Source organism: Homo sapiens, chromosome 19 (genome assembly GCF_000001405.40).
Source record: "Homo sapiens chromosome 19, GRCh38.p14 Primary Assembly".
In the NCBI taxonomy this organism is placed as follows: domain Eukaryota; kingdom Metazoa; phylum Chordata; class Mammalia; order Primates; family Hominidae; genus Homo; species Homo sapiens.
The window spans coordinates 14,940,178-14,964,005 of NC_000019.10; the positions used below are offsets into that span (position 1 = coordinate 14,940,178).

The window sequence follows — 23,828 nt, forward strand, 5'->3', positions numbered from 1 at the left end:
GAGGCAGGAGGATCACTTGAGCCCAGAAGTTCGAGACTGCAGTGAGCTAGGATGGCGCCACTGCACTCCAGCCTGGGCAACAGAGCCAGACCTTGTCTCTAAAACAAAATGAAAAATAAATTACAGGAATGCAGCACAATAGAAGAAAAAGCCTTCTGAGGATTGACAATCTGCCTAGAATTAGGGAATTCTCATTGCCTGATTTCCTAATCCCCATGCCTTAGGCAGAAAGGGCAAGAGCAGCCACCAGGGATGCTGCGGTGGGAAGGATTGCTTAGGGATACAGGCAAGCGCTGAAGCAATAGTCCTCAAACTTGAGTGTGCATCAGAATTCCCTAGAGGGCTTGTTAAAACCCAGAATGCAGGCCAGGCACGGTGGCTCATGCCTGTAATACCAGCACTTTGGGAGGCTGAGGCGGGCGGATCATCTGAGGTCAGGAGTTTGAGACCAGTCTGGCCAACATGGAGAAACCGTGTCTCTCCTAAAAATACAAAAAAAAAAAAAAATTACCTCAGCGTGGTGGTGCGCGCCTGTAGTGCCAGCTACTCAGGAGGCTGAGGCATGAGAATTGCTTGAACCTGGGAGCCAGAGGTTGCAGTGAGCTGAGATTGCACCACTGCACTCCAGCCTGGGCAACAGGGTGAGACTCTGTCTCAAAAAAAAAAAATTAATTAATTAAAATTAAAAGGCCAGGCGTGGTGGCTCATGCCTGTAATCCCAGCACTTTGGGAGGCCAACGCAGGAGGATCACGAGGTCAGGAGTTCGAGACCAGCCTGACCAACATGGTGAAACCCTGTCTCTACTAAAACTACAAAAATTAGCTGGGCGTGGTGGTACATGCCTGTAATACCAGCTACTCTGGAGGCTGAGGCAGGAGAATCACTTGAACCCGGGAGGCAGAGGTTGCAGTGAGCCAAGACTCTGCCACTGCACTCTAGCCTGGGCGAAAGAGCGAGACTCCATCTCAAACAAAAACTAAACCAGAATGCTGGCTCCATACCCAGAGTATCAGATTCAGTCGGTCAGGTGGGCATGATAAGGCACATGTCTAATGAGTTCCCAGGTGATGCTGATGGGGCTGTTCCAGGAACCACAGTTTAAGGACCAATGATGTAGAGATGACTTCTCCAGGTAGCGATGGTAACTGTAACTTGTCGGCAAAGAAATCCAATAATTAGCCAAAATGCATGATTTCTTGAGTTCCCTGGGTTTGAATAAAGGATATTGCAGTCATTCTGGGGAATGCTTATTTGGAGTAAATTTTGTGTGGCTGTTTTTTTTCCTCCTTCTCGGCAAACCCAGCGGCCCCATGGAAAGAGGAAACCAAACAGAAGTTGGAAACTTTCTCCTCCTGGGATTCGCAGAGGACTCTGACATGCAGCTTCTCCTCCATGGGCTGTTCCTCTCCATGTACCTGGTTACCATCATCGGAAACCTGCTCATCATCCTGACCATCAGTTCAGACTCCCACCTCCACACCCCCATGTACTTCTTCCTCTCCAACCTGTCCTTTGCTGACATCTGTTTCACATCCACGACTGTCCCAAAGATGCTGGTGAATATCCAAACACAAAGCAAAATGATCACTTTTGCAGGCTGCCTCACTCAGATATTTTTTTTCATTGCATTTGGATGCCTGGACAATTTGCTCCTGACCATGACGGCCTATGACCGCTTCGTGGCCATCTGTTACCCCCTGCACTACACGGTCATCATGAACCCCCGGCTCTGTGGACTGCTGGTTCTGGGGTCCTGGTGCATCAGTGTCATGGGTTCCTTGCTTGAGACCTTGACCATTTTGAGGCTGTCCTTCTGCACAAATATGGAAATTCCGCACTTTTTTTGTGATCCTTCCGAAGTCCTGAAGCTGGCCTGTTCTGACACCTTCATCAATAACATCGTGATGTATTTTGTGACCATTGTCCTGGGTGTTTTTCCTCTCTGTGGAATCCTATTCTCTTATTCTCAGATTTTCTCCTCCGTCCTAAGAGTATCTGCCAGAGGCCAGCACAAAGCCTTTTCCACCTGTGGTTCCCACCTCTCAGTGGTCAGCTTGTTCTATGGCACTGGCCTTGGGGTCTATCTCAGTTCTGCAGTTACACCACCTTCTAGGACAAGTCTGGCAGCCTCGGTGATGTACACCATGGTCACCCCCATGCTGAACCCCTTCATCTACAGCCTGAGGAACAAGGACATGAAGGGGTCACTGGGGAGACTCCTCCTCAGGGCAACGTCTCTCAAAGAGGGGACCATTGCTAAGCTCTCATGAATTGCAGTGAACACAATACTGAGGCCAGACTGGCCTCTTTCAGCCAATATTTCAACTTCTGTTTTTATGCATTTTTTTGAGACGGAGTCTTGCTCTGTCGCCCAGGCTGGAGTGCAATGGCGTGATCTCGGCTCACTGCAACCTCCGCCTCCCAGGTTCAAGCAATTCTCCTGCCTCAGCCTCCTTAGCAGCTGGGATTACAGGCATGCGCCCCAATTCCCGGCCAATTGTTTTTATTTTTAGTAGAGATGGGGTGTCACCATGTTAGTCAGGCTGGTCTCGAACTCCTGACCTCATGATCCACCTGCCTCGGCCTCCCAAAGTGCTGGGATTACAGGCATGAGCCACCGTGCCCAGCCACTTCTTTTTTTTTTTTTCAAGAAGGAGTCTCACTCTGTCACCCAGGCTGCAGTGCAATGGTGCGATCTCGGCTCACTGCAACTGCCGCCTCCCGGGTTCAAGTGGTTCTCCTGCCTCAGCCTCCTGAGTAGCTGGGATTACAGGCACCCGCCACCATGCCCAGCTAGTTTTTGTATTTTTAGTAGAGATGGGGTTTTGCCATGTTAGTCAGGCTGGTCTGGAACTCCTGACCTCAGGTAATCTGCCCGCCTTGGCCTCCCAAAGTGCTGGGATTACAGGCAATGAGCCACCGCACCCTGCCTTCTTTTATACATATTAAAGCATCTCTTCCCTTGCATCTTCCTTTGGAACGTTTCCTGCCCTTGCTACTGCTAATAAAGTTATATAGGATCACCCTTTTTGACTTTCTAACCAGTAATCTTAACTTTGTATGAATACAACCTGGTGTTTTCTCTGTTATCTTTAGTAATGATTTGGATTTTGTTTTTTGTTTTTGTTTTTTGTTTTGTTTTTTGTTTTTGTTTGTGTTTTTGAGACAGTCTCCCTCTGTCGCCCTGGCTGGAGTGCAGTGGCGCCATCTCAGCTCACTGCAACCTCCACCTCCCGGGTTGAAGCAATTCCCCTGCCTCAGCCTTCTGAGTAGCTGGAACTACAGGCATGCACCACCATGTCTGGCTAATTTTTGTATTTTTAATAGAGACAGAGTTTCACCATGTTGGCTAGGCTGGTCTCGAACTTCTGACCTCAAGTGATCTGCCTGCCTCAGCTTCCCAAAGTGCTGGGATTACAGGCATGAGCCACTATGCCCGGCCTGATTTGAGTTAAAAATATATGTATCAAATCTTACATGTTAAATATATACCCTCAGAAGCGATGAGATATGTCCCTATTTTGGACTTGTTGCCCTGGAAACTCATTTACAGAGATGTTTTTTGAGGTTACGTGAATAAAAATAACTCAAAGAGTTTCCTCCTTTTTTTATCTGATTCACTTTCCTTTCAGTCACACCAACTTTACTTAACTTTTCTACTCTTTCACAATATGGGTTCCTTGAATTTCAGAGCAATGTCTCACCGATTTTTGCAATCACAATGCCTAGCACAGTTATTGGTAAGGAGTTCATGTTTACATGATATCTGTCAAATGGAGTAGAAAAATAGATGGGTGGATGGTTAAATATAAAATAAGATCTGGACCAGAAAAATACAAATTGATTAATCTGATGAGAGGTTTTGGCCAGGCATGGTGCTGCATGCCTGTAGTTTCAGCTACTCAGGAAGCTGAGGCGGGAGGATGGCTTGAACCCAGGAGGTTAAGGCTGTAGTGAGCTGTGATTATGCCACTGTACTCCAGCCTGGGTGACAGAGTGAGACTCTGTTTCTAAATAATAATAATAATTAATTAAGTTGTTGAGCTAGAAACAAAATTCAAGGTTATTGATGTTGATATTAATAACACTTTATATACCAGCACAGTTTAAGAGCTTTATATACATTACCTCATTTAATTTTTCCAATAACTCTTTTATGTGATTAGTATTATTTCTCAAATTTACAAATAAAAACGTAAGAGCTTATGGTAAGTAGGTAATTAGCTCAAAGTAATGAATGTAGCGACAAGGTTCAAATGCAGGGCTGTATGAATCAGACAGCTCTCCCAGGCATTATGTTGTGTTGCTGTGGAGTCCTAATTAGGGAAAAGGAGTCAGGCTGGCAAGACCAAGGGAAAGCAAAAAGAAGCAGATAGAAGTCTGCCTTTCTTCATGGTCCCAGACACAAAGCCCTCCTGTGCAAAACACTCACAATCTTCCTGCACTCAGCTATCACCAGACCCTCAGCTGATACAAAAATTGCAAGTTAGCTCAGTGCAACCTTGGCGTTATCAATACTGTACAAAGCCCTCCTCAGCACACAGCACAAGCACTGTCTTATAAAATCCCCAGCAAGCTTTTGTCCTTAGCAATCAACTCCTCCATTGCTGGCCTGCCCATTGCTTCCTTGCAATGTATTTTCATACTTTCTCCAATAAATCTGCCTTTCTTTACCTACAACTGTGTTGGTAAATTCTTCTTATCTTCCACACCACCAGCCCCAGACAGTCGCCACTCACCCATGACAGTTACCTCTAGTCAAACCTTCTAATAATATAGTTAAACCTCAAAGGAACCAGGAATTCTCTGACATAAATTCTTACTTCTGGAATTATGCTCCCCAACCAAGAAATATTCTGTGTCTGGGGGCTGCAGCCTCAGAAATAAATGAAACCCAAGAGTAAGATTTATTTTTTCCTTTGATATTTTAATTTGACTTCCTTTGATTGTTCATTAAAATGAGCACATTTTTGTGCTCGATCTTTTGGTGTTCGATGTTTTTATAGTAACTCTTTTTTCCAGCTTTACTGAGGAATAATTGACTAATAAACATTGTACTTATTCAAGGTGTATAATGATTTGATATATGTATACATTGTGTAGTGATTTACTTGCATTAATTTTTACTAAATTTTGAGTTTACCTCCATTGATCTAATCTTAGACTTTTTAAAATTCTAGTTCACTTAGTTTTTAAATTTTTATTCTTAATCATTATGGATACACAATAGCTGTACATATTTATGGGGTACACATAAATTTTTTTTTTTTTTTTTTTTTTTTGAGGCAGAGTCTTGCTCTGTCGCCCAGGCTGGAGTGCAGTGGCGCAATCTCGGCTCACTGCAAGCTCCGCCTCCCGGGTTCACGCCATTCTCCTGCCTCAGCCTCCTGAGTAGCTGGGACTACAGGCACCCACCACCACGCCCAGCTAACTTTTTGTATTTTTAGTAGAAACGGGGTTTCACTGTGTTAGCCAGGATGTTCTCGATCTCCTGACCTCGTGATCCGCCCGCCTCAGCCTCCCAAAGTGCTAGGATTACAGGCGTGAGCCACCGCGCCCAGCCACATATGAAATTTTTACACATACAATATATACTGATCAAATCAATGTAATTGGGGTATCTATCGCTTCAAGTATTTATCATTTCTTTGCGTTATTAACATTCCAATTCCACTTTTTTAGTTATTTTGAAATATACGATAAATTATTGTTAACTATAGTCACCCTGTTGTGCTACCAAATACTAGATTTTGTTCCTTCTAACTGTAGTTTTGTAGTCATTAACTATCCCTTCTTTATCCTCCCTCCCTCCTTACTGCCCCTCCTAGCTTCTGGTAACCATCATTCTACTCTGTTTCCATGAGTTCAGTTTTTTTTAGCTCCCACATACAAGTGAGAACATGTAATGTGTTTTTCTGTGCCTGGCTTATTTCTTTTGTTGTTGTTGTTTGGGTTTTGCTTTTTTTTTTTTGAGACGGACTTTTGCTCTTGGCACCCAGGTTAGAGTGCAATGGTGCGATCTCGGCTCACTGCAACCCCCACCTCCCGGGTTCAAGCCATTCTATCTGCCTCAGCCTCCCGAGTAGCTGGGATTACAGGCAGCCACCACCACGTCCGGCTAATTTTTTTATTTTTCGTAGAGACCAGGTTTCATCATATTGACCAGGCTGGTCTTGAACTCCTGACCTCAGGTGATCTGCCCGCCTCTGCCTCCCAAAGTGCTGGGATTATAGGCGTGAGCCACCAAGCCCGGCCGCCTAGCTTATTTCATTTAACATCATATCCTCCAGCTCCACCCATGTTGTTGTAAATGATAGGATCTCTCATTAATTTTTATGACTGAATAGTGCTCCATTGTGTATATGTAACACATTTTCTTTATCCATTCATCTGTTGATGAACACTTAGTTGGATTCCAAATCTTAGCTATTGTGAATAGTGCTGAAACAAACATGAGAGTGTATAAAAGACATCTCTTTTATGTATGTATTTATTAAATATTTCCACAGCTTTCCATTCATCTTTTATTATCTTTATTGTTTTACTTGCAGCTGTTTAATATGTTTGAGTCCATCAGTTATCTTCTCAGTTCTCTTCTTTTCTCTTTCTTCCATCTGGATTTCTGCTCAGAGGGTTAATCTATCTTTTTTTCTAGAATTCTGCTGCTATTTGACATTTTTCCTCCAACTTCATTCTATTATGGTGGTTGATGTTAAGATAGGAATTTAAGTTGATTTTGCTCCCCAATTAATAACCAATTATCCAAGTACCATTTTTAACGTCCTTCCTTCCCTCAATCAAAAAATTGATTTTTTTTCTTTTTCCTTTTCTTTTTTTTTTTTTTTTTTTTTTTTTTGAGGTGGAGTTTCACTCTTGTCACCCAGGCTGGAATGCAATGGCGCAATCTCAGCTCACTGCAACTTCTGCCTCCCGGGTTCAAGTGATTCTCCTGCCTCAGCCTCCCAAGTAGCTGGGATTACAGGCGCCCGCCACCACACTCAGCTAATTGTTGTATTTTTAGTAAAGACGGGGTTTCACCATGTTGGCCAGGCTGGTCTCTAACTCCTGACCTCGGGTGATCCACCCGCCTCAGCCTCCCAAAAAGTGCTGGGATTATAGGCGAGAGCCACCACGGCCGGCCCCCTCATTGATTTTAATGTCACTTCTATAATATAGTAGCTTATTTTACTGAATTTGTTTTTCATTATCCAGCAGCATTGGTATACAGTCATGCCCCACATGATGATGTTTTGGCCTAAGACAGACCACATATATTATGGTAAACCCATAAGATTATAATGGAGCTGAAAATTTTCTTTTCTTTTTTTTTTTTTCTTTTTTCGAGACAGAGTCTTGCTCTGTCGCCCAGGCTGGAGTGCAGTGGCACAATCTCAGCTCACTGCAACCTCCGCCTCCTGGGTTCAAGCAATTGTCTTTCCTCAGCCTCCGGAATAGCTGGGATTACAGATGCCCACCACCATGCTTGGCTAATTTTTGTATTCTGAGTAGAGACGAGGTTTCACCGTGTTGGCCAGGCTGCTCTCCAACTCTTGACCTCATGATCCACCTGCCTTGGCCTCCCAAAGTGCTGGGATTACAGGTGTGAGCCACTGCGCCTGGCCCGGAGCTGAAAATTTTCTACAGCCTAATGACTTCATAGTCACTGTACTTCAGAATGCAACACATTACTCACACGTTTGTGTCAACAAATCTACTGTTCCACCTGCTGTATAAAAGGCAAGCACATACAATTATGTATATAGTGCAGAATACTTGACAATGAAAATAAACGACTATGTTACTGATGTGTGTACTTACTATATTATACTTTTTTATCACTATTTTAAAGGTTACTCCTTCTACTTATTAAAAGAAAAAGTTAACCATAAAACAGCCTCAAGCATGTCCTTCAGAAGATATTCTAAAAGAAGGCATTGTTAATACAGGAGATGGCAACTCCGTGCGTGGTATTGCCCCTGAAGACCTTCCAGTGGGACAAGATGTGAAGGTAGAAGACAGTAATACTGATGATCCTGACCCTGTGTAGGCCTAGGATAATGCGTATGTTACAAATTTTTTAAACAGAAAAAAAAAACCATATAGAATAAGAATATAAAGAAAAAACATTTTTGTACAGCTGTACAATTTATTTAAGCTACCCGTTATTACAAAACAGTCCAAAAGTGGTTTTTTATTGTTGTTGTTGTTCTGTTTGATTTATTTATCTTTTTTTTTGAGATGGGGTCTGGCTCTGTAGCTCAGGCAGGAGTGCAGTGGCGCAATCTCAGCCCACTGCAACCTCCACCTCCTGGGTTCAAGCGATTCTTCCTGTCTCAGCCTCCTGAGTAGCTGGGATTACAGGTGGCCACCACCACACCCGGCTCATTTTTGTATTTTCAGTAGAGACAGGGTTTCACCATGTTGGCCAGGCTGGTCTCGAACTCCTGACCTCAGGTGATCCGCCCGTAATCCCAGCACTTTGGGAGGCCAGGGCTGCGGATCACTTGAGGTCAGGAGTTTGAGACCAGCCTGACCAACATGGCAAAACTCCCGTCTCTACTACAAATACAAAAATTAGCCAGGCGTGGTGGTGGGCACCTATAATCTCAGCTACTCTGGAGACTGAGGCAGGAGAATTGCTTGAACCTGAGAGGTGAAGGTTGCAGTGAGCCGAGATCTTGCCACTGTACTCAAGCCTGGGTGACAGAAAGAGACTCTGTCTGAAAAAAAAAAAATATATATATATATATATATATACATATATATATATATATATATACACGTGTGTGTATATATATATACACGTGTGTATATATATACGTGTATATATAGTGTATATATATATGTGTGTGTGTATATATACGTGTGTATATATATACGTGTATATATATACTTGTGTGTGTGTGTGTGTGTGTGTATATATATATATATATCTCATTACTGGGAGATATAATTGCTTTCTACTGAACTGAAAACGGCCCTGCGAGGGGCATTTCTACTGAACTGAAAACTCACATCTGGTCTCTCCTGGACTCTGTCCCATGCACCTTTGCTTTTGCTGATTTTAATCTTTACCCTTCACTGTAATAAACCATAACTGTGAGTATGATAGCTTTTCTGAGTTCTACGAGTCTTTTTATTTTATTTTATTATTATTATTATTTTTTGAGACTGGTTTCAAACTCCTGGACTCAAGCAATCCTCCTGCCTTGGCCTCTGAAAGTGCTGGGATTGTAGGTGTGAATCACCACGCCTGTCTTGAATTCTATGAGTCTTTCCTTTTTTTTGAAACAGAGTCTCACTCTGTTACCAGGCTGGAGTGCAGTGGCGCCAATCTCAGCTCACTGCAACCTCCGCCTCCCGGGTTCAAGTGATTCTCCTGCCTCAGCCTCCTGAGTAGCTGAGACTACAGGCGCCTGCCACCACGCCTGGCTAATTTTTTGTATTTTAGTAGAGACTGGGTTTCCCCATGTTGGCCAGGCTGGTCTCGATCTCCTGACCTCATGATCTGCCCGCCTCAGCCTTCCAAAGTGCTGGGATTACAGGCGGGAGCCACCACGCCCAACCCTGAATTCTATGGGCCTTTCTAGTGAATTGCTGAACCTAAAGGTGGTCTTGGGGGACCCCTGACACAGAGACCATGGATATTGTTTTATCAGGAGAAATAATGGTTTTTCTTTACCTTCTTCTTCCGCCACTCTTTGAGAATGTGAGAAACATGAGTTGACCACTCTTCTTGTTGAAGCTGAAGCTTCCCTTCTCCCCAAACCTAGGAGAAACGTTTCTTCCCCTCCCTTGCTCACGCCGTCCTTCAAGCCCTCAGCATATGCTCAGAGAGAAACAGAGACCTTATATACCTTTCATTCCTGCTCCTTTATTTCACTTTTCCCTCCCCCCTAAATGAGTCAAGCAGAACGTGTGTTCAGCCCACGGTCAGTTGGGCAACAGATGTGTCACCAGGACTCCCCTCCCCAGCCCCCTTCCCTCCTCTCTGGGGGGGCAGAGCTGGAGGCCCCTCACATAGCACTCTCGTTGCCTCCCCGTCCCCGGGATGCCCCCTTCTCCTGTGCCATGAGGGACTTGTAGGGTTTCCCCAGGCTGGGGAGGGTAAGCTCAGCTTCCTGAAGCTCCAGCTCCCGCTGAGACAAGTGCTCGATGACGGCCGCTCCAATTGAGTCCCCCAGTACGTTGGTCATTGTGCGAAGCCGGTCACTGGTACAGGGGAGAAAGAAGCTGCCATTAATGGGGGCTTGAAAAGCTTCACAGAAAGAGGGTGCAGCAGAGGGGGGTCCCTGTGCCAGGGAGTCAGAGGGCTCCCATTGCAGTACAATCCATGACCACATGTCCCCAAGCAGGTTCTTCCCCCTCTCTGCCCTGTTTCTCCTACTAACAAACAGGATGGACCAGGTCTGAGATGTTCATGTTTGATCTTAGATGTGATATTTTTTAAAAAATGAGGCTGGGTGTGGTTTACAGAAAAAAGATCATATCATTAAAAAGATATGATCCCAGCACTTTGGGAGGCTGACAGGCAGAAGAATTGCTTGAGACCAGGAGTTCAAGACCAGCCTGGGCAACATAGCAAGACCCCGTCTCTACATAGAATAACTTTAAAACACAGCCTGGGATGGTAGCATGTGCCTGTAGTCCCAGCTACTTGGGAGGCTGAGATGGCAGGGTCACTTGAGCCCAGAACGTCAAGGCTGCAGTGAGCTATGATCATGCCACTCCACTCCAGCCTAGATGACAGAACAAGACCCTGTCTCTCAAAAAAAAAGAAAATGAGGCAGGGCGTGGTGGCTCATGCTTATAATCCCAGCACAAGGCGGGCGGATCACAAGGTCAGGAGTTGGAGACCGGCCTGACCAACATAGTGAAACCCTGTCTCTACTAAAAATACAAAAAAAAAAAAAAAAAAAAAATTAGCTGGGCATGGTGGCATGCCCAGTAGTAATCCCAGCTACTCGGGAGGCTGAGGCAGGAGAATCACTTGAACCTGGGAGGCAGAGGTTGCAGTGAGCTGAGATCGAGCCACTGCACTCCAGCTTGGGTGACAGAGCAAGACTCTGTCTCACAAAAAAAAAAAAAAAAAAAAAAAAAGAAAGAAAAGAAAAAAATGAACATCTCATGCAGACGATTAAGGGTTATGAACTGAAAAGCACATAGAATCCGGAATGGTAAACCAGGGCAGGCCTGAGTCAATACAGGTGTAGACTAGGGCAGGCTGAAGATTATAAAATTGGAACTCAGGCTCAGCTGACAGCTCCCATGTGGGAATGAAAGTCCAGGCTTCCTTTAATGTAAACCTCCTGGTTTTGTTGTTGTTGCTGGTTTTTGTTTTTGTTTTTGTTTTTTGAGATGGTGTTTCACTCCTGTTGCCCAGGCTGGAGTGCAGTGGTGCGATCTCGGCTCACTGCAACCTCCACCTCCCAGGTTCAAGCGATTCTCCTGTCTCAGCCTCCTGAGTAGCTGAGATTATAGGCGCCCACCACTAGGCCCGGCTAATTTTTGATATTTTTAGTAGAGATGGGGTTTCACCATGTTGGCCAGGCTGGTCTTGAACTCCTGACCTCAGGTGATCTGCCCACCTCGGCCTCCCAAAGTGCTGGGATTACAGGCGTGAGCCACCACACCCGGCCTGTTTTTGTGTTTTTGAAACAGAGTGTTGCTCTGTCACACAGGCTGGAGTACAGTCATGTGATCTTGACTCACTGCAGCCTCAACCTCCCAGGTTCAAGAGTTCCTCCCACCTCAGCCTCCCAAGCAGCTGGGACTACAGGTGCGCCACCACACCCAGCTAATTTTTGTATTTTTTGTAGAGATGGGACTTGCCATGTTGCCCAGGCTGGTCTTGAACTCCTGAACTCAAGCAATCCACCTGCTTTGGCCTCGCAAAGTGCTGGAATTACAGGCACATGTCACTGTGTCCTACCCGTAAACCTCCTGTTTTTAAAAATTGAGATTTAAATATATATTTGCAGCTGGGAGTAGCAGCTCACATCTGTAGTCCCAACTACTTGGGAGGCTGAAGCAAGAGGATTGCTTAAGCTAAGGAGTTCAAGGCCAGCCTGGGCAACACAGCAAAACATAATCTCAAAAAAAAAAAAAATAACAAATCCCAGCACTTTGGGAGGCTGAGGCAGGTGGATCACGAGGTCAGGAGATCGAGACCATCCTGGCTAACATGGTGAAACCCCATCTCTACTGAAAATACAAAAAACCAAAAAATTAGCCAGGCATGGTGGCGGGCGCCTGTAATCCCAGCTACTTGGGAGGCTGAGGCAGGAGAATGGCGTGAACCCAGGAGGCAATCTCATCTCACTGCTACCTCCACCTCCCAGGTTCAAGCGATTCTCCCACCTCAGCCTCCTGAGCAGCTGGGATTACAGGCACGTGCCACCACGCCCAGCTAATTTTGTTTTTTGTTTGTTTGTATTTTTAGTAGAGACACCGCACCCGGCCTGGATCACCTTTTGGTGACTTCTACATAAAACAGGTAAAAGAGGAGTTTTTCTGCCTGATAGGTAAAGCCCCCATTGCTTGTCTCCAACCCTACTTCCCAAAGATAACTGTGGGATTTGGGGTCCAGAGGCCATGGATTGGAGGCCTCTCCAAGGCCTCCTTTTCACTTGAAAATTCTGGACCACTGCATCTTTGCTGGAATAAAAGTCCACAGGTCGAGGACGTTGCAGGGGAAAGCAGTGTGTGCAGAAGCAGGAGCACCAGGGTCCAGCCTAGAGAACACTCACAGGAACCAGTCCACGGCAATGATGAGCGTGATGTCTTCCGTGGGCAAGCCGACCGACGTAAGCACAATGACCATGGTGACCAGACCCGCCTGGGGGATGCCAGCAGCCCCAACACTGGCTGCTGTGGCCGTGATGCTGCAGGGGGAGGGAGAACATGGGGAGCAGATGGAGGGAAGAAGGCGATGAGGAAGAGAGAGGAAAAGGACAGAGAGAAGGGAAGAGATCAGCTCCCCAAGGCATTTTAAATTAAATACCCAAGCCAGACACAGAGAGAAAAATACTGCTTGATGCCTCGCCTCGCCTCGCCTCACCTCGATCCCCACCCACCCCGCCCCTCCCCTCCTCGCCTCACCTTGCCCCTGCCTCGCCTCCTCTCTCTCTCTCCCAGGCTGAAGTGCAGTGGTGTTATCTCAGCTCACTGCAACTCACTACTCAATCCCACCTTAACCTCCTGAGTAGCTGGGACCACAGGCACATGCCACAACGCCTGGTTAATTTTTAGTAGAGATGGGGTTTCACCATGTTGGCCAGGCTGGTCTCGAACTCCTGACCACCTCGAACTCCTGATCCACCCACCTCGGCCTCCCAAAGTGCCAGAATTACAGGTGTGAGCCACCGCGCCTGACAGAGCTTACATTCTAGTATGGGAAGCAGGCAATAAACAAAATGAATAACTAAAATTCATACTATATGGAGATAGTACTACACGGGGAAACAGTGCCTCCTTAGCAAGACCCGATATGCCATTTTAAACAGGGCTTCCCTGAAAAAGTAACGCTGAAGACCTGAAGGAGATGACAATGTTCACTGTTATTTTTATAATGACTAAGTTGGAACCACTGGATGATGGGACCTATAAATACAGGAATAAATAAATGTATAGAGCCTACAAATATAAGAATCTATATACAAGAACCTCGGGTTATCAGGATGCACCAGCCATGCTTTGGAAAACACTGGACAAATGGATCTCCCACGTGAGAGGGAAACTGACAGGAACGTCTTGGCAGCTCCTGACAGCCTCAGGTGGCAACTTTACCTTTCACCTACCTCATCCGGCATTGGGCTCTTCCCACATCCCGCTTCCAACATCCGTGGGCTCCTCTGAGCTCCAGCTGAGGCCCCCTCCTCCCTCCCCAACCCTCCCAGCCAAGCTGATGACCGCTTAAGTCTCACCTGCTGGCAGGTCCTACCCAAGCCCCCTCACCTGATGGTTGTGATCTGACCCAGGTTGAGCTCGTAGTTGTTAACTTGAGCAATGAAGATGGCAGCCAGGGCCTCGTAGAGGGCAGTGCCATCCATGTTGACCGTGGCGCCCACGGGCAGGACGAACCTGGTGATGCGGCGGTCCACACCCAGGCCCTCCTCCAGGCAGCGGAAGGTGATGGGCAGCGTTGCCGAGCTGGGGGAAAGAGCCCAGGACTGAGGATGGGGCGTGGCCTGGTGGGGGCGGGGCTGGGAACAGGGTGTGGCCTAGTGGGGCAGGGCAGAGAATGGGGCGTGGCCGAAGAAAGGCTGGGGAACAGGGCGTGACCTAGTGGGGTACGGCTGAGAATGGGTAGGGCTGGGTCACATGGGCGGGGCTGAGAACAGGGGAGGAGTAGGTGAGGCGGGGCTCAGAGCAGGACGTGGCCAGGTGAGGAAGAGCTGAGAATAGGGCGTGGCAAGGCAGGGCGGGGCTCAGAGCAGGGCATGGGCTGGGCGTGGCCTGGGCAGAAATGAGCCCAAGGAGCGTTCCCCTTGAGAACATTGAGCAGGCCAGGTGGGGGGCTCCTCAAGATGCAGAAGACAAGGGTATAACATTTCAGAGGCTGATAACTGTACAAAGGAAAGGAGCAACTCCTCATGATACAGGAAGAAAACAGCAATGAGGGTCTCCCAAGCTGAAGATCTCTTCACCCACTTAAAGCCAATAGCTAAGGCCAATGACTACACACTAGTTTATGGCAGTAGTTCGTTCTACCTATCCATTTCCAAAAAGGACAGGACCAAAGGTCTGCTGACTTCAGGGAGGGCCCCTACTCCAGACTCCCCTGTTTGCACCAGCATTGACCTCAGCTGTGCTAACTTTCTCTATCCATCTACCCGCCATGTCTTATCGGAGAAAAGTGACCTAATTGATTGGCGAGTTTAGTCAAAGAAGTGGGCATCTCATTTGGGGTAAGTCTGTCCACAAGGCGTGTGTTCTGTGGTCAGCTTTACATCATACGGTTGGAATCCTGGACTCATAAGAGAGTCTCTGGGTGTCCAGCTCAGCGGTGACTATGTGAGTTTAATTCTAGGATACAGTGACATCAGTCTTACCTAGCCATAGACCAAGAGGCACATTCCCTGACCAGCGTTATGGGCAATTTTAAAAATTATATTTTTGATCAGGTGCAGTGGTTCGTGCCTGTAATCACAGCACTTTGGGAGAGCGAGACGGGCAGATCACTTGAGCTCAGGAGTTCAAGACAAGCCATAGCCAACATGGCAAAACCCCGTCTCTACCAAAAACAACAACAACAACAAAAAAAACTTAGCCGGGAGGGCTAAAAAATTAGCCGGGAGGACTGGAATCAGGCACCTGTGATTCCAGCTACTTGGGAGGCTGAGGTGGGAGGATCACTTGAGCCTGGGAAGTGGAGGTTGCAGTGAGTGGAGATCACACCACTGCACTCTAGCCTGGGTGATAGAGTGAGGCCTCATGTCAAACGAAAAAGAAAAAGAAAAAAAAGATATTTTTGGCCGGGCGTGGCGGCTTACACATGTAATCCCAGCACTTTGAGAGGCCAAGGTGGGCAGATCACATGAGGCCAGGTGTTCGAGACCAGCCTGGCTAACATGGCAAAACCCCATCTCTACTAAAAATACAAAAATTAGCCAGGTGTGGTGGTGCATGCCTGTAGTCCCAGCTACTTGGGAGGCTGAGGCAGGAGAATCACTTGAACCTAAGAGGCGGAGCTTGCAGTGAGCCAGGATTACACCACTGCACTCCAGCCTGGGTGACAGAGTGAGACTCTGTCTCAAAAAAAAGAAAAAAAAAATTCTTCCATCTTTTTGGCTGTTGTGCTACTTTTCAAATTTGTTTTTGAATTGGGATGATGCTCTTAATTAATCCCCTAAAACTACAAAAGAAGAAGAGGAGGAGGAAGAGGAGGAAGAAGAAAAAGGAGGAAGAGGATGAAGGGGAAGAAGAAGGAGGAGGAGAAGGAAGAAGCAGCAGCCAAGAGATCTCCCAGACACCATCTCACAAGTGGAGATGACACCCTCTGAGCTAGGAAATGACTGAGCTCATGGGGCATCCTGGAACCTTCCCTCTTAACCTCAAAACTGGTACCTGGTTCTCCTCCACAGAAAGTTAAAAAACAGGAAAGGAGAAAAGGAGACCAGGAGAGCCAGCCCAGGACAATGACTGGACCCCAGGTGTTGACATTATGAGCCCTGGACATTGTTGGACGACTCAGAAGAGGTGTTTAAGGAATGGAGAGGGCAGGTGCCTTAGGAGAGGACATGAAGGACAAGAAGTGCAACCAGGAATGGTGCTGGGGTGGGGAGCAAGGCCATACCTGGAAGACGTGCCCATAGCGGTGATGAGGGCTTGTAGCATGCCCCCAATGAAGGGGAAGGGGTTCCGGTGAGTGACGAGGAAGTAGATGAGGGGAAGGACAATGCCGGCATGGAGGAACAGGCCCACGATGACGGTCAGGGTGTACATGCCCAGCTGACCCCCCAGGACGGCCATGTCTTCCATCTCCAGAATCTTCCCAGCAATCAGGAACAGGATGCCCACAGGTGCATACCTGTGTGAGGGAGCCACATACCTGTCAGGGCTCCCTCCTGACCTCCCTTGCAGGTCTGAAGGTGGCATCCCCAAGGCTTTGCCCATATAGGGCCCTGGAGCCACACAATACCCATGATACGGCACCCTACTCCATCCCAGTCTTCCCCGTACACTAATGAATGCCACCGGGCCCCATGAATGAAGCCCACCTCCTCCTCCTCCTGCTCTTCCACATCTCCCCACCATGGTAGAAAAGTTCCTACAACTCCAGGATATACAAGCTTTCAGGTCTCTCCTGTACCTACTCCCCATTCAAGCTCTCTCAATCCTGCCCCAAATAATCACTACCTTCAGTTTCCTTCCTTAGACATTGCCAAGACATTCCCTGTCTCTGGCCTTCTAAGCTTCCCTTATCTTCTGCCCCCAACTGTTTGTTCCACATTTGAAATGTGTATGCCCCTATTCTCTTCCCTATCAGTGCCTGTTATCACTCATTCACCAGCCTAAGCATTTCCCTCTCAAACCACTTGTCCTATCAAAATCACCGATGTATTCATTCATTCCACAGATATTGACTGAGTACCTACTGAGTACCAGGCACATGGCTCTCGTCCTCAAAGCACTTACATTCTGTTATGGACTAAATGTTTATGTCCCCTCCCCACTCCAACCAAATTCATATCTTGAGATCCTAACCCCCAATGGGATAGTATTGGGAGGTGATTAGGTCATGAGGGTAGAGCCATCATGAATGGAATTAGTGCCCATATAAAAGACACACCAGAGAGCTCCCTCCACCCTTCTGTCATTCGAAGACACAGCAAGAAGACGCCTTCCATGAACCAGAAGACAGCCCTCACCAGACATGGAATCTGTGGGTGCCTTGAACTTAGACTTCCCACCCTCCAGAGCTGTGCGAAATACATTTTTGTTCTTTAAGCCACAATGTCTATGGTATTTTTGTTACAGCAGCTGACATGAACTAAGACACATTCTAATGGGGAAAGCAGGAGGTACACATAGAAATGCACTAATTGCAAACTTCAAGTGGTGATAACAGCAAAGGAGAGTCACTGGATGGGACTGCTTCTGAGCAGATGGTCAGAGAGGGCTTTTCTGAAGAGGTGACATTTAAGCTGAGACTTGCATGATGAGAAGGTACCCTGTGTATCTGGAAGAAATCATTGCAGGCACAATGCAGACTCTGAGATGGGCATGCACTAGGAGTGCTGGAGGACCAGAGAGAAGACCAATGTGGCTGGAGTATTGAGTAAAAAGGAGAATAGAGAAGATGAAAGAAGCAAGTTCATCAGGGGCTCACCTGTTTCCCCCCATAATCCAGCCCACGGGTCAATCGAGTGAGTTTCTGCCATTGGCACCATCATCTCATTTCGAGGCTTCAATGGCTACTCCTCTTTCTTTAGAAATTGAAGTTTATGGCTGGGCATGGTGGCTCATGCCTGTAATCCCAGCACTTTGGGAGGCCGAGGAGGGCAGATCACTTGAGGTCAGGAGTTCGAGACCAGCCTGGCCAACATGGTGAAATCCCATCTCTATTAAAAATAAAAAAATTAGTCAGGTGTGGTAGTGCACACCTGTAGTCCCAGCTACTCGGGAGGCTGAGGCAGAAGAATCACTTGAACCCAGGAGGCAGAGGTTGCAGTGAGCTGAGATCACATCACTGCACTCCAGCTTGGGCGACAGAGCCAGACTGCATCTCAAAAAAAAAAAAAAATTTGAAATCTACTTTGGCTCACATTCATCGTGGATGTGTTGGAGGAGGTGGGGACCTCTTGGGAAGGTGGTACAATAGCTTGAGTCAAAAATGAGGATGCACGGGGCTTCTCCAGTCACATCTGTGTTCTCCAAACTGGGCTCAGAGTTAGCCCTGGGGAGTAGTTGCTGAGTCTTCTCCAAGTCAACATGACTAGATCCACCTCTATGCTTACTCTGAGTAATCCCTCTCTCAACTTCCTCACCTCCATCCTTCCACCTCATCCCCTGCAAAATTCCTCAGCCCAAGATTAATTGTGCATGATTTCTTACCCCCTACACTCAGCCACCTGGCACATCTGGACATTTCACCCAATCATGCCAATGACACTGCTATAAATTCATTGTTCCCAATTCAGCTGAGCCTTCATTATTCCTTGTTAACTCTCTGCTTATCCTTAATAAGCTCCCCACTCCCATTCCTTTCAGATGCTTTTCCAGGCCCTCAACTTGGCCTCAAGTTCCTTATATGAAGAAAGTAAAAGTTCGTCTTCAAAGTTTCCCTTCTTGTTAAAGAATAAATCTTAAGTGTTAAAAATAGTTTCTTTTAAAGACTAACTTCCTTCAAGCCTCCTTACTTTATGCTAATAACTCTTTGTTAAGCCCTATCCTATGTAGGTGTTAGACACGCTCACAGGCACATAGTACATTCTACGTCCTTGTACTTTAACCAAGATATCTGTGCTGGATGTGCTCACAGGCATGTCCCAGCTTGCAGCCTATACCCCTTCCTTATTTGGGAATGTTATTACTTTTCTAAGTCCTTTTGTAAGCAACTTCCTCTTTTCCTCTGTTTTCCATTGCTTTTACCTATTTAGAAAAGTTTTAAATTATTAGCCAGTCGGGATTTAGTTTAGATTGTAAAGTCTGGCTCCAGCCAATGGAGACAGACACAGTAGCAGGGACAAACTGCATAAGGGATAAAAATTGCTTCTTCCCTCCTTTGTTCAGGTGTGCTCTTGCCATTGTTCCATCTGTGATGAACACCCTTTCTGCAGAAGTAAAAATTGCCTTGCTGAGATAATTAAATTTATGTTTGAGTGCTATTTCTTTATGGCACTGGGGAACAAGCATTCTGTTTCTAAATAAACATTTTACATATGACACTATACAACTTTCCAATTGTTTGGGATGATGTACAAAGTCTTCTCCCATTTGGGATCTGACAGCCTTGTTAATATCTTCCACCACCACTCCCAACTTACCCCATGCTCTCACCTTCCTGAATGCCCCACCATTCTCCAAACAACTTAGGTACCTTCAAGCTTTGCATGTTCTCTTCTCTCTGCCTGAAATACGTCTCCCCTCTCACTGTCCAGTTGAAGTCCTACTCACCTGTCAAGACGCAGTTAACAGGTGACCTTCTTCATGACTCCCTCTTCAGGAAGCATTCACTGCGTACCCCTCTACTCACTGCTTCCTTCTCCAAGTTCCCAACATTTTTTAAATGTTCCTTTACTACAGAACCTACCACCTTGTGTTATATTGATCTACAATGTGTCTGTCTCCCCTAAGATTTTGTGAGCTTGTTGAGGACAAGGTATGAGTGCACTGTATCTCTGTACTCCAGAGGTCAAGACAAAGTCTGCCTGGGAAAATGCCTGCTGAGTGAATAAAGATATTTCTGAAGTAATAAAGGAATCTAGAGAAGGAATGATGGAAGGAAGGAAGGAAGGAAGGGATTAACAACTGGATGAATAAGTAAGGAAATAAGCAAATGAAACAAGTTAGTAGCTGAGTGAACAAATACGTGAACAAATGAGTGAATGAAGAGAATACTTGAATAAATGAATGAAAGAATAACAAATGCATAGATGAATGAGTGAGTCCAAGAATGAATTAGAATGAATAAATGACTTAACTGAGTAAATAAACAGATGAATCCATCAATGATTTAACTAATGCATGGATGAGTTTGTAAATAAATTTACGAGTGAATGAATACATGAGTGAGTTAACTGATGCATGGAAGAATGAATAGATGAATAAGAAAATGAATGAACCGATAGAAAAATGAGAATGAATAAGTGAATAAATTGGTGAATGAAGAGATACATGGGGAAGTAAATGGGTGAATAAATCACTGCAGAAAGGTATGAATGAATGAATAGTAACTAACCAATGCATAGGAGATGAATAAATCCCTGTCACTTGTGACAACACAGATGAACCTGGAGGACATTATGCTAATTGAAATAACCAAGACACAGAAAGACAAATACCACATGATCTCACTTATCTGTGGAATCTAAACAATCAAACTCACAGAAGCAGGGAGTAAAATGGTGGTTACCAGGGACTCGCAGGAAAGGGAGATTGGGGAGATGTTGATCAAGGGTACAAAATTTCAGTTAAATAGGAGAAATAAGTTCAAGAGATCTATTGGACAACATGGTAGGTATAGTTAAAAACAATGTATTGTGTACTTGCAAATCACAAAGAGAGTAGATTTTAAGTGGTCTCTCCCTTTTTTTTTTTTTTTGAGACTGGGTCTCATTCTGTCACCCAGGCAACCACAACTCACTGCAGCCTCTACATCCCAGGCTCAATCTGTCCTCCCGCCTCAGCCTCCCAAGCAGCTGGGACTACAGCTGCATGCCACCACACCCAGCTAATTTTTTTTGTATTTTTTGTGGTCTTGTCATGTTGCCCAGGCTGGTCTCAAATTCCTGGGCTCAAGTGATTCTCCCACCTTGGCCTCCCAAAGTGCTGAGATTATAGGCATGAGCCACCACACCCTGCCTAGATCTTAAGTGTTCTCACCACAAAAAAATAAGCATGTGAGGTAACGTCTATGTTAGTTAGCTCAACTGAACCATTCCACAATGTAGAGATATTTCAAAACATTATGTTGCACATGAAAATATATACAGTTTTTATTTGTCAATTAAAAATACATTAATTTTGCAAAATAAATAAATGAATGACCAAATAAATCCAGAAACCAATGCATGAAAGAATAAATGTAGCTGAATAAATGTCAGTGAATGGCTTGGTCAATGTATTGAAGAATGAGTGAATGAACAGATAAGCAAGGGAGTGAACAAGTGAACAAATCATTGCAGAAAAGTGTGAATGAATGAATGAGTTAGTGAGTTGGCCAGTGATTTAACCAATGCATAGATGAATGAATAAATGCATGAGGAAATGAGTAAATCAATGCATTGAAGCATGAGTATAGATGAATAAATCACTGAATGAGTGATTTCATCAATGCATAGAAGAATGAGTGAATGAACAGATGAACAAAGCAGTGAATGAATCATTGCAGAAGGACATGAATGAATGAAAGAGTGAGATATTCCATGAACTAACCAATGCATAGAAGAATGAATGAATGAACAGATGAACAAGGAAGTCAACTAGTGATGAAATCATCCCAGAAAGACATGAATGAATGAGTTGGTGAGTGGGTAAGTGAATCACCCAATACGTAAATGAATGACCAAAAGTCCCCAGCAAGCCCTTCGGCAGCTTCCCCACAGCCTGACTTCCCAGCTCTGGCTCCACCATCCCGTGGGCACAGACCAGGACTCACCAGATAATGATGCCCACCAGCCTCATAATAGCCTCATTGAGGCTGTCGAAGAAGTCCCTGAGGACTCTGCCCTTGTGTTTCATGCCACCAATGACCAGCCCAAAGGCCACAGAGAAGACCACGAGGCCCAGGGCGTTGATGCCATTGGCGGAGCCAGGCACGGGTACAGTCTCCTCAAAGCTCAGCATCTCCTGCAGGGTACCCAAGGCCCGAGTGACATTTTCCAGGAAGCTGGTTCCGTTCTCCACTGAGAATGGAGGAGGCATGGAGGCACCCGGCTCAGACCCGTTCTCTGTCCTCACCATGGTCCTGGTTACCACCCTCGTGCTGTACTGCGTCTTGAACTGAAATAGAGAGAGATTGCGCCCAGATTCAATTCAGCGGATGCATTAGAATCGCCTGGAGAAATTCCTTGAGACCACTGATTCCCAGTTCCCACACCCTGGAAGATCGATAAGATCTTCATTATCGATTATCACTCATTATCGACTATCACTCATTCAGCAGATCTGAATGAGTGAATGAATGACTTGAATAGTGCATGGAAGAATGAGCGAATGAATCAGTAAACCCATTATGAAAAATCATATGGAGCTTCCTCAAAAAATTAAAAATAGAACTACCGGCCGGGCATGGCTCACGCCTGTAATCCCAGCACTTTGGAAGGTCGAGGCAGGCGGATCATGAGGTCAGGAGTTTGAGACCATCCTGGCCAACATGGTGAAACCCTGTCTCTACTAAAAATACAAAAATTAGCTGGGTGTGGCAGTGCGTGCCTGTAGTCCCAGCCACTTGGGAGGCTGAGGCAGGAGAATCGCTTGAACCTGGGAGGCGGAGGTTGCAGTGAGCTGAGATGGTGCCACTGCACTCCAACCTGGCGACAGAGTGAGACTCCATCTCAAAAAAACAAAAAAAAATTGAACTACCATAGGACCAGCAATCCCACTACTGTATATATCCAAAGGAAATGAAATCAGTATCTCAAAGAGATATCTGCTCTCCCATGTTTATTGCAGTACTATTCACAATAGCCAAGATATGAAATCAACCTAAGTATCCATCAGTGAATGAATGGATACAGAACATGTGGTATACATATACAATGAAATACTATTCAGCCTTGAAAAAGGAGGGGATCCTGTCATTTGTGACAAGAGGGTTGAACCTGGAAAACACTGTGCTACGTGAAATAAACCAGGCACAGAAAGACAAATATTGCATGCTCTCACTTATATGTGAAATTTAAAAGAGTTGGACTCATAGAAGCAGAAAATAGAATAGTGCTTACCAGGGACTGGGGAGCAGGGAAATTGGGGAGATGTTGGTAAAAGGACACAAAATTTCAGCTAGACAAGAGCAATAAGTTCAAGAGCTCTATTATACAACATGGTGACTATAGCTAATAACAATGTATTGTGTATTTGAAAATCACCAGAAGGGTAGATTTTAAGTGTCTTTATCTCAAAAAATGTTAAGTATATAAGGTAATTGATATGTTAATAAGCTTGATTGAGCCACTCCACAATGCAGACATATTTCAAAACATCATCATACCTCATAAATACATATAATCTTTGTGTGAATTTGAACATAAATAAATTAAAAATATTTTTTGAAGAATAAGTGCCTGAATAAATGAATGAGGAAGTGAACAACCAATGTGTGGAAGTAGTATAGATTCTGAATTTTTCACAAGCTCCCTGAGCAATGCTTAACCAGAGTTGAGGGCCTCTCCCCTCAACCATCTGTGGTCAAAATTTCTGGAATCTCTACACCAGCCTTGTTGCCTCCTCTAGCCCTGTGCTCAGGAAGTCCTTGGCCTAAGTCCTCTTTTTTTTTTTTTTCTTTTTTTGATATGGGGTCTTGCTCTGTCACCCATGTTGGAGTGCAGTGGTGTGACCACTGGAGCCTTGATCTCCTGGGTTCAAGCAATCCTCCCACCTCAGCCTCCCAAGTAGCTGAGACAGGCGTGTCCAGCTAATTTTTTTTTAATCTTTTTTTTTT

General features: G+C 45.5%; 2 protein-coding genes across 11 annotated transcripts in view; one reads left to right on the plus strand and one right to left on the minus strand.

Moving 5' to 3' along the window:
- The first annotated feature begins 1,311 nt into the window (after nt 1-1,311).
- On the plus strand, nt 1,312-2,271 carry OR7C2 (olfactory receptor family 7 subfamily C member 2). Its single transcript, NM_012377.1, has one exon. It carries the CDS (start codon nt 1,312-1,314, stop codon nt 2,269-2,271), a length of 960 nt encoding a protein of 319 aa, NP_036509.1.
- Nucleotides 2,272-9,855: 7,584 nt separating this feature from the next.
- The window catches only part of SLC1A6 (solute carrier family 1 member 6), a 60,611-nt gene continuing 46,638 nt past the window's right edge, over nt 9,856-23,828 (minus strand). For 6 of the 10 annotated variants that reach the window (NR_073589.2, NM_001384669.1, NM_005071.3 and 3 more), the window contains 5 exons: nt 21,825-22,168; nt 16,299-16,532; nt 13,958-14,152; nt 12,751-12,885; nt 9,856-10,213 (listed from right to left, as the gene is read on the minus strand). Coding sequence is in view for 9 of the 10 variants with exons in the window: in NM_001384669.1 (NP_001371598.1) it covers nt 10,018-10,213; nt 12,751-12,885; nt 13,958-14,152; nt 16,299-16,532; nt 21,825-22,168 (1,104 nt within the window). In the remaining variant the exon portion in view is untranslated. Of the gene's footprint in view, nt 10,214-12,750; nt 12,886-13,957; nt 14,153-16,298; nt 16,533-21,137; nt 22,169-23,828 lie in introns of those variants that run through there. The other 4 variants (NM_001272088.2, NM_001272087.2, NM_001384671.1 and 1 more) reach the window with 1 other exon arrangement.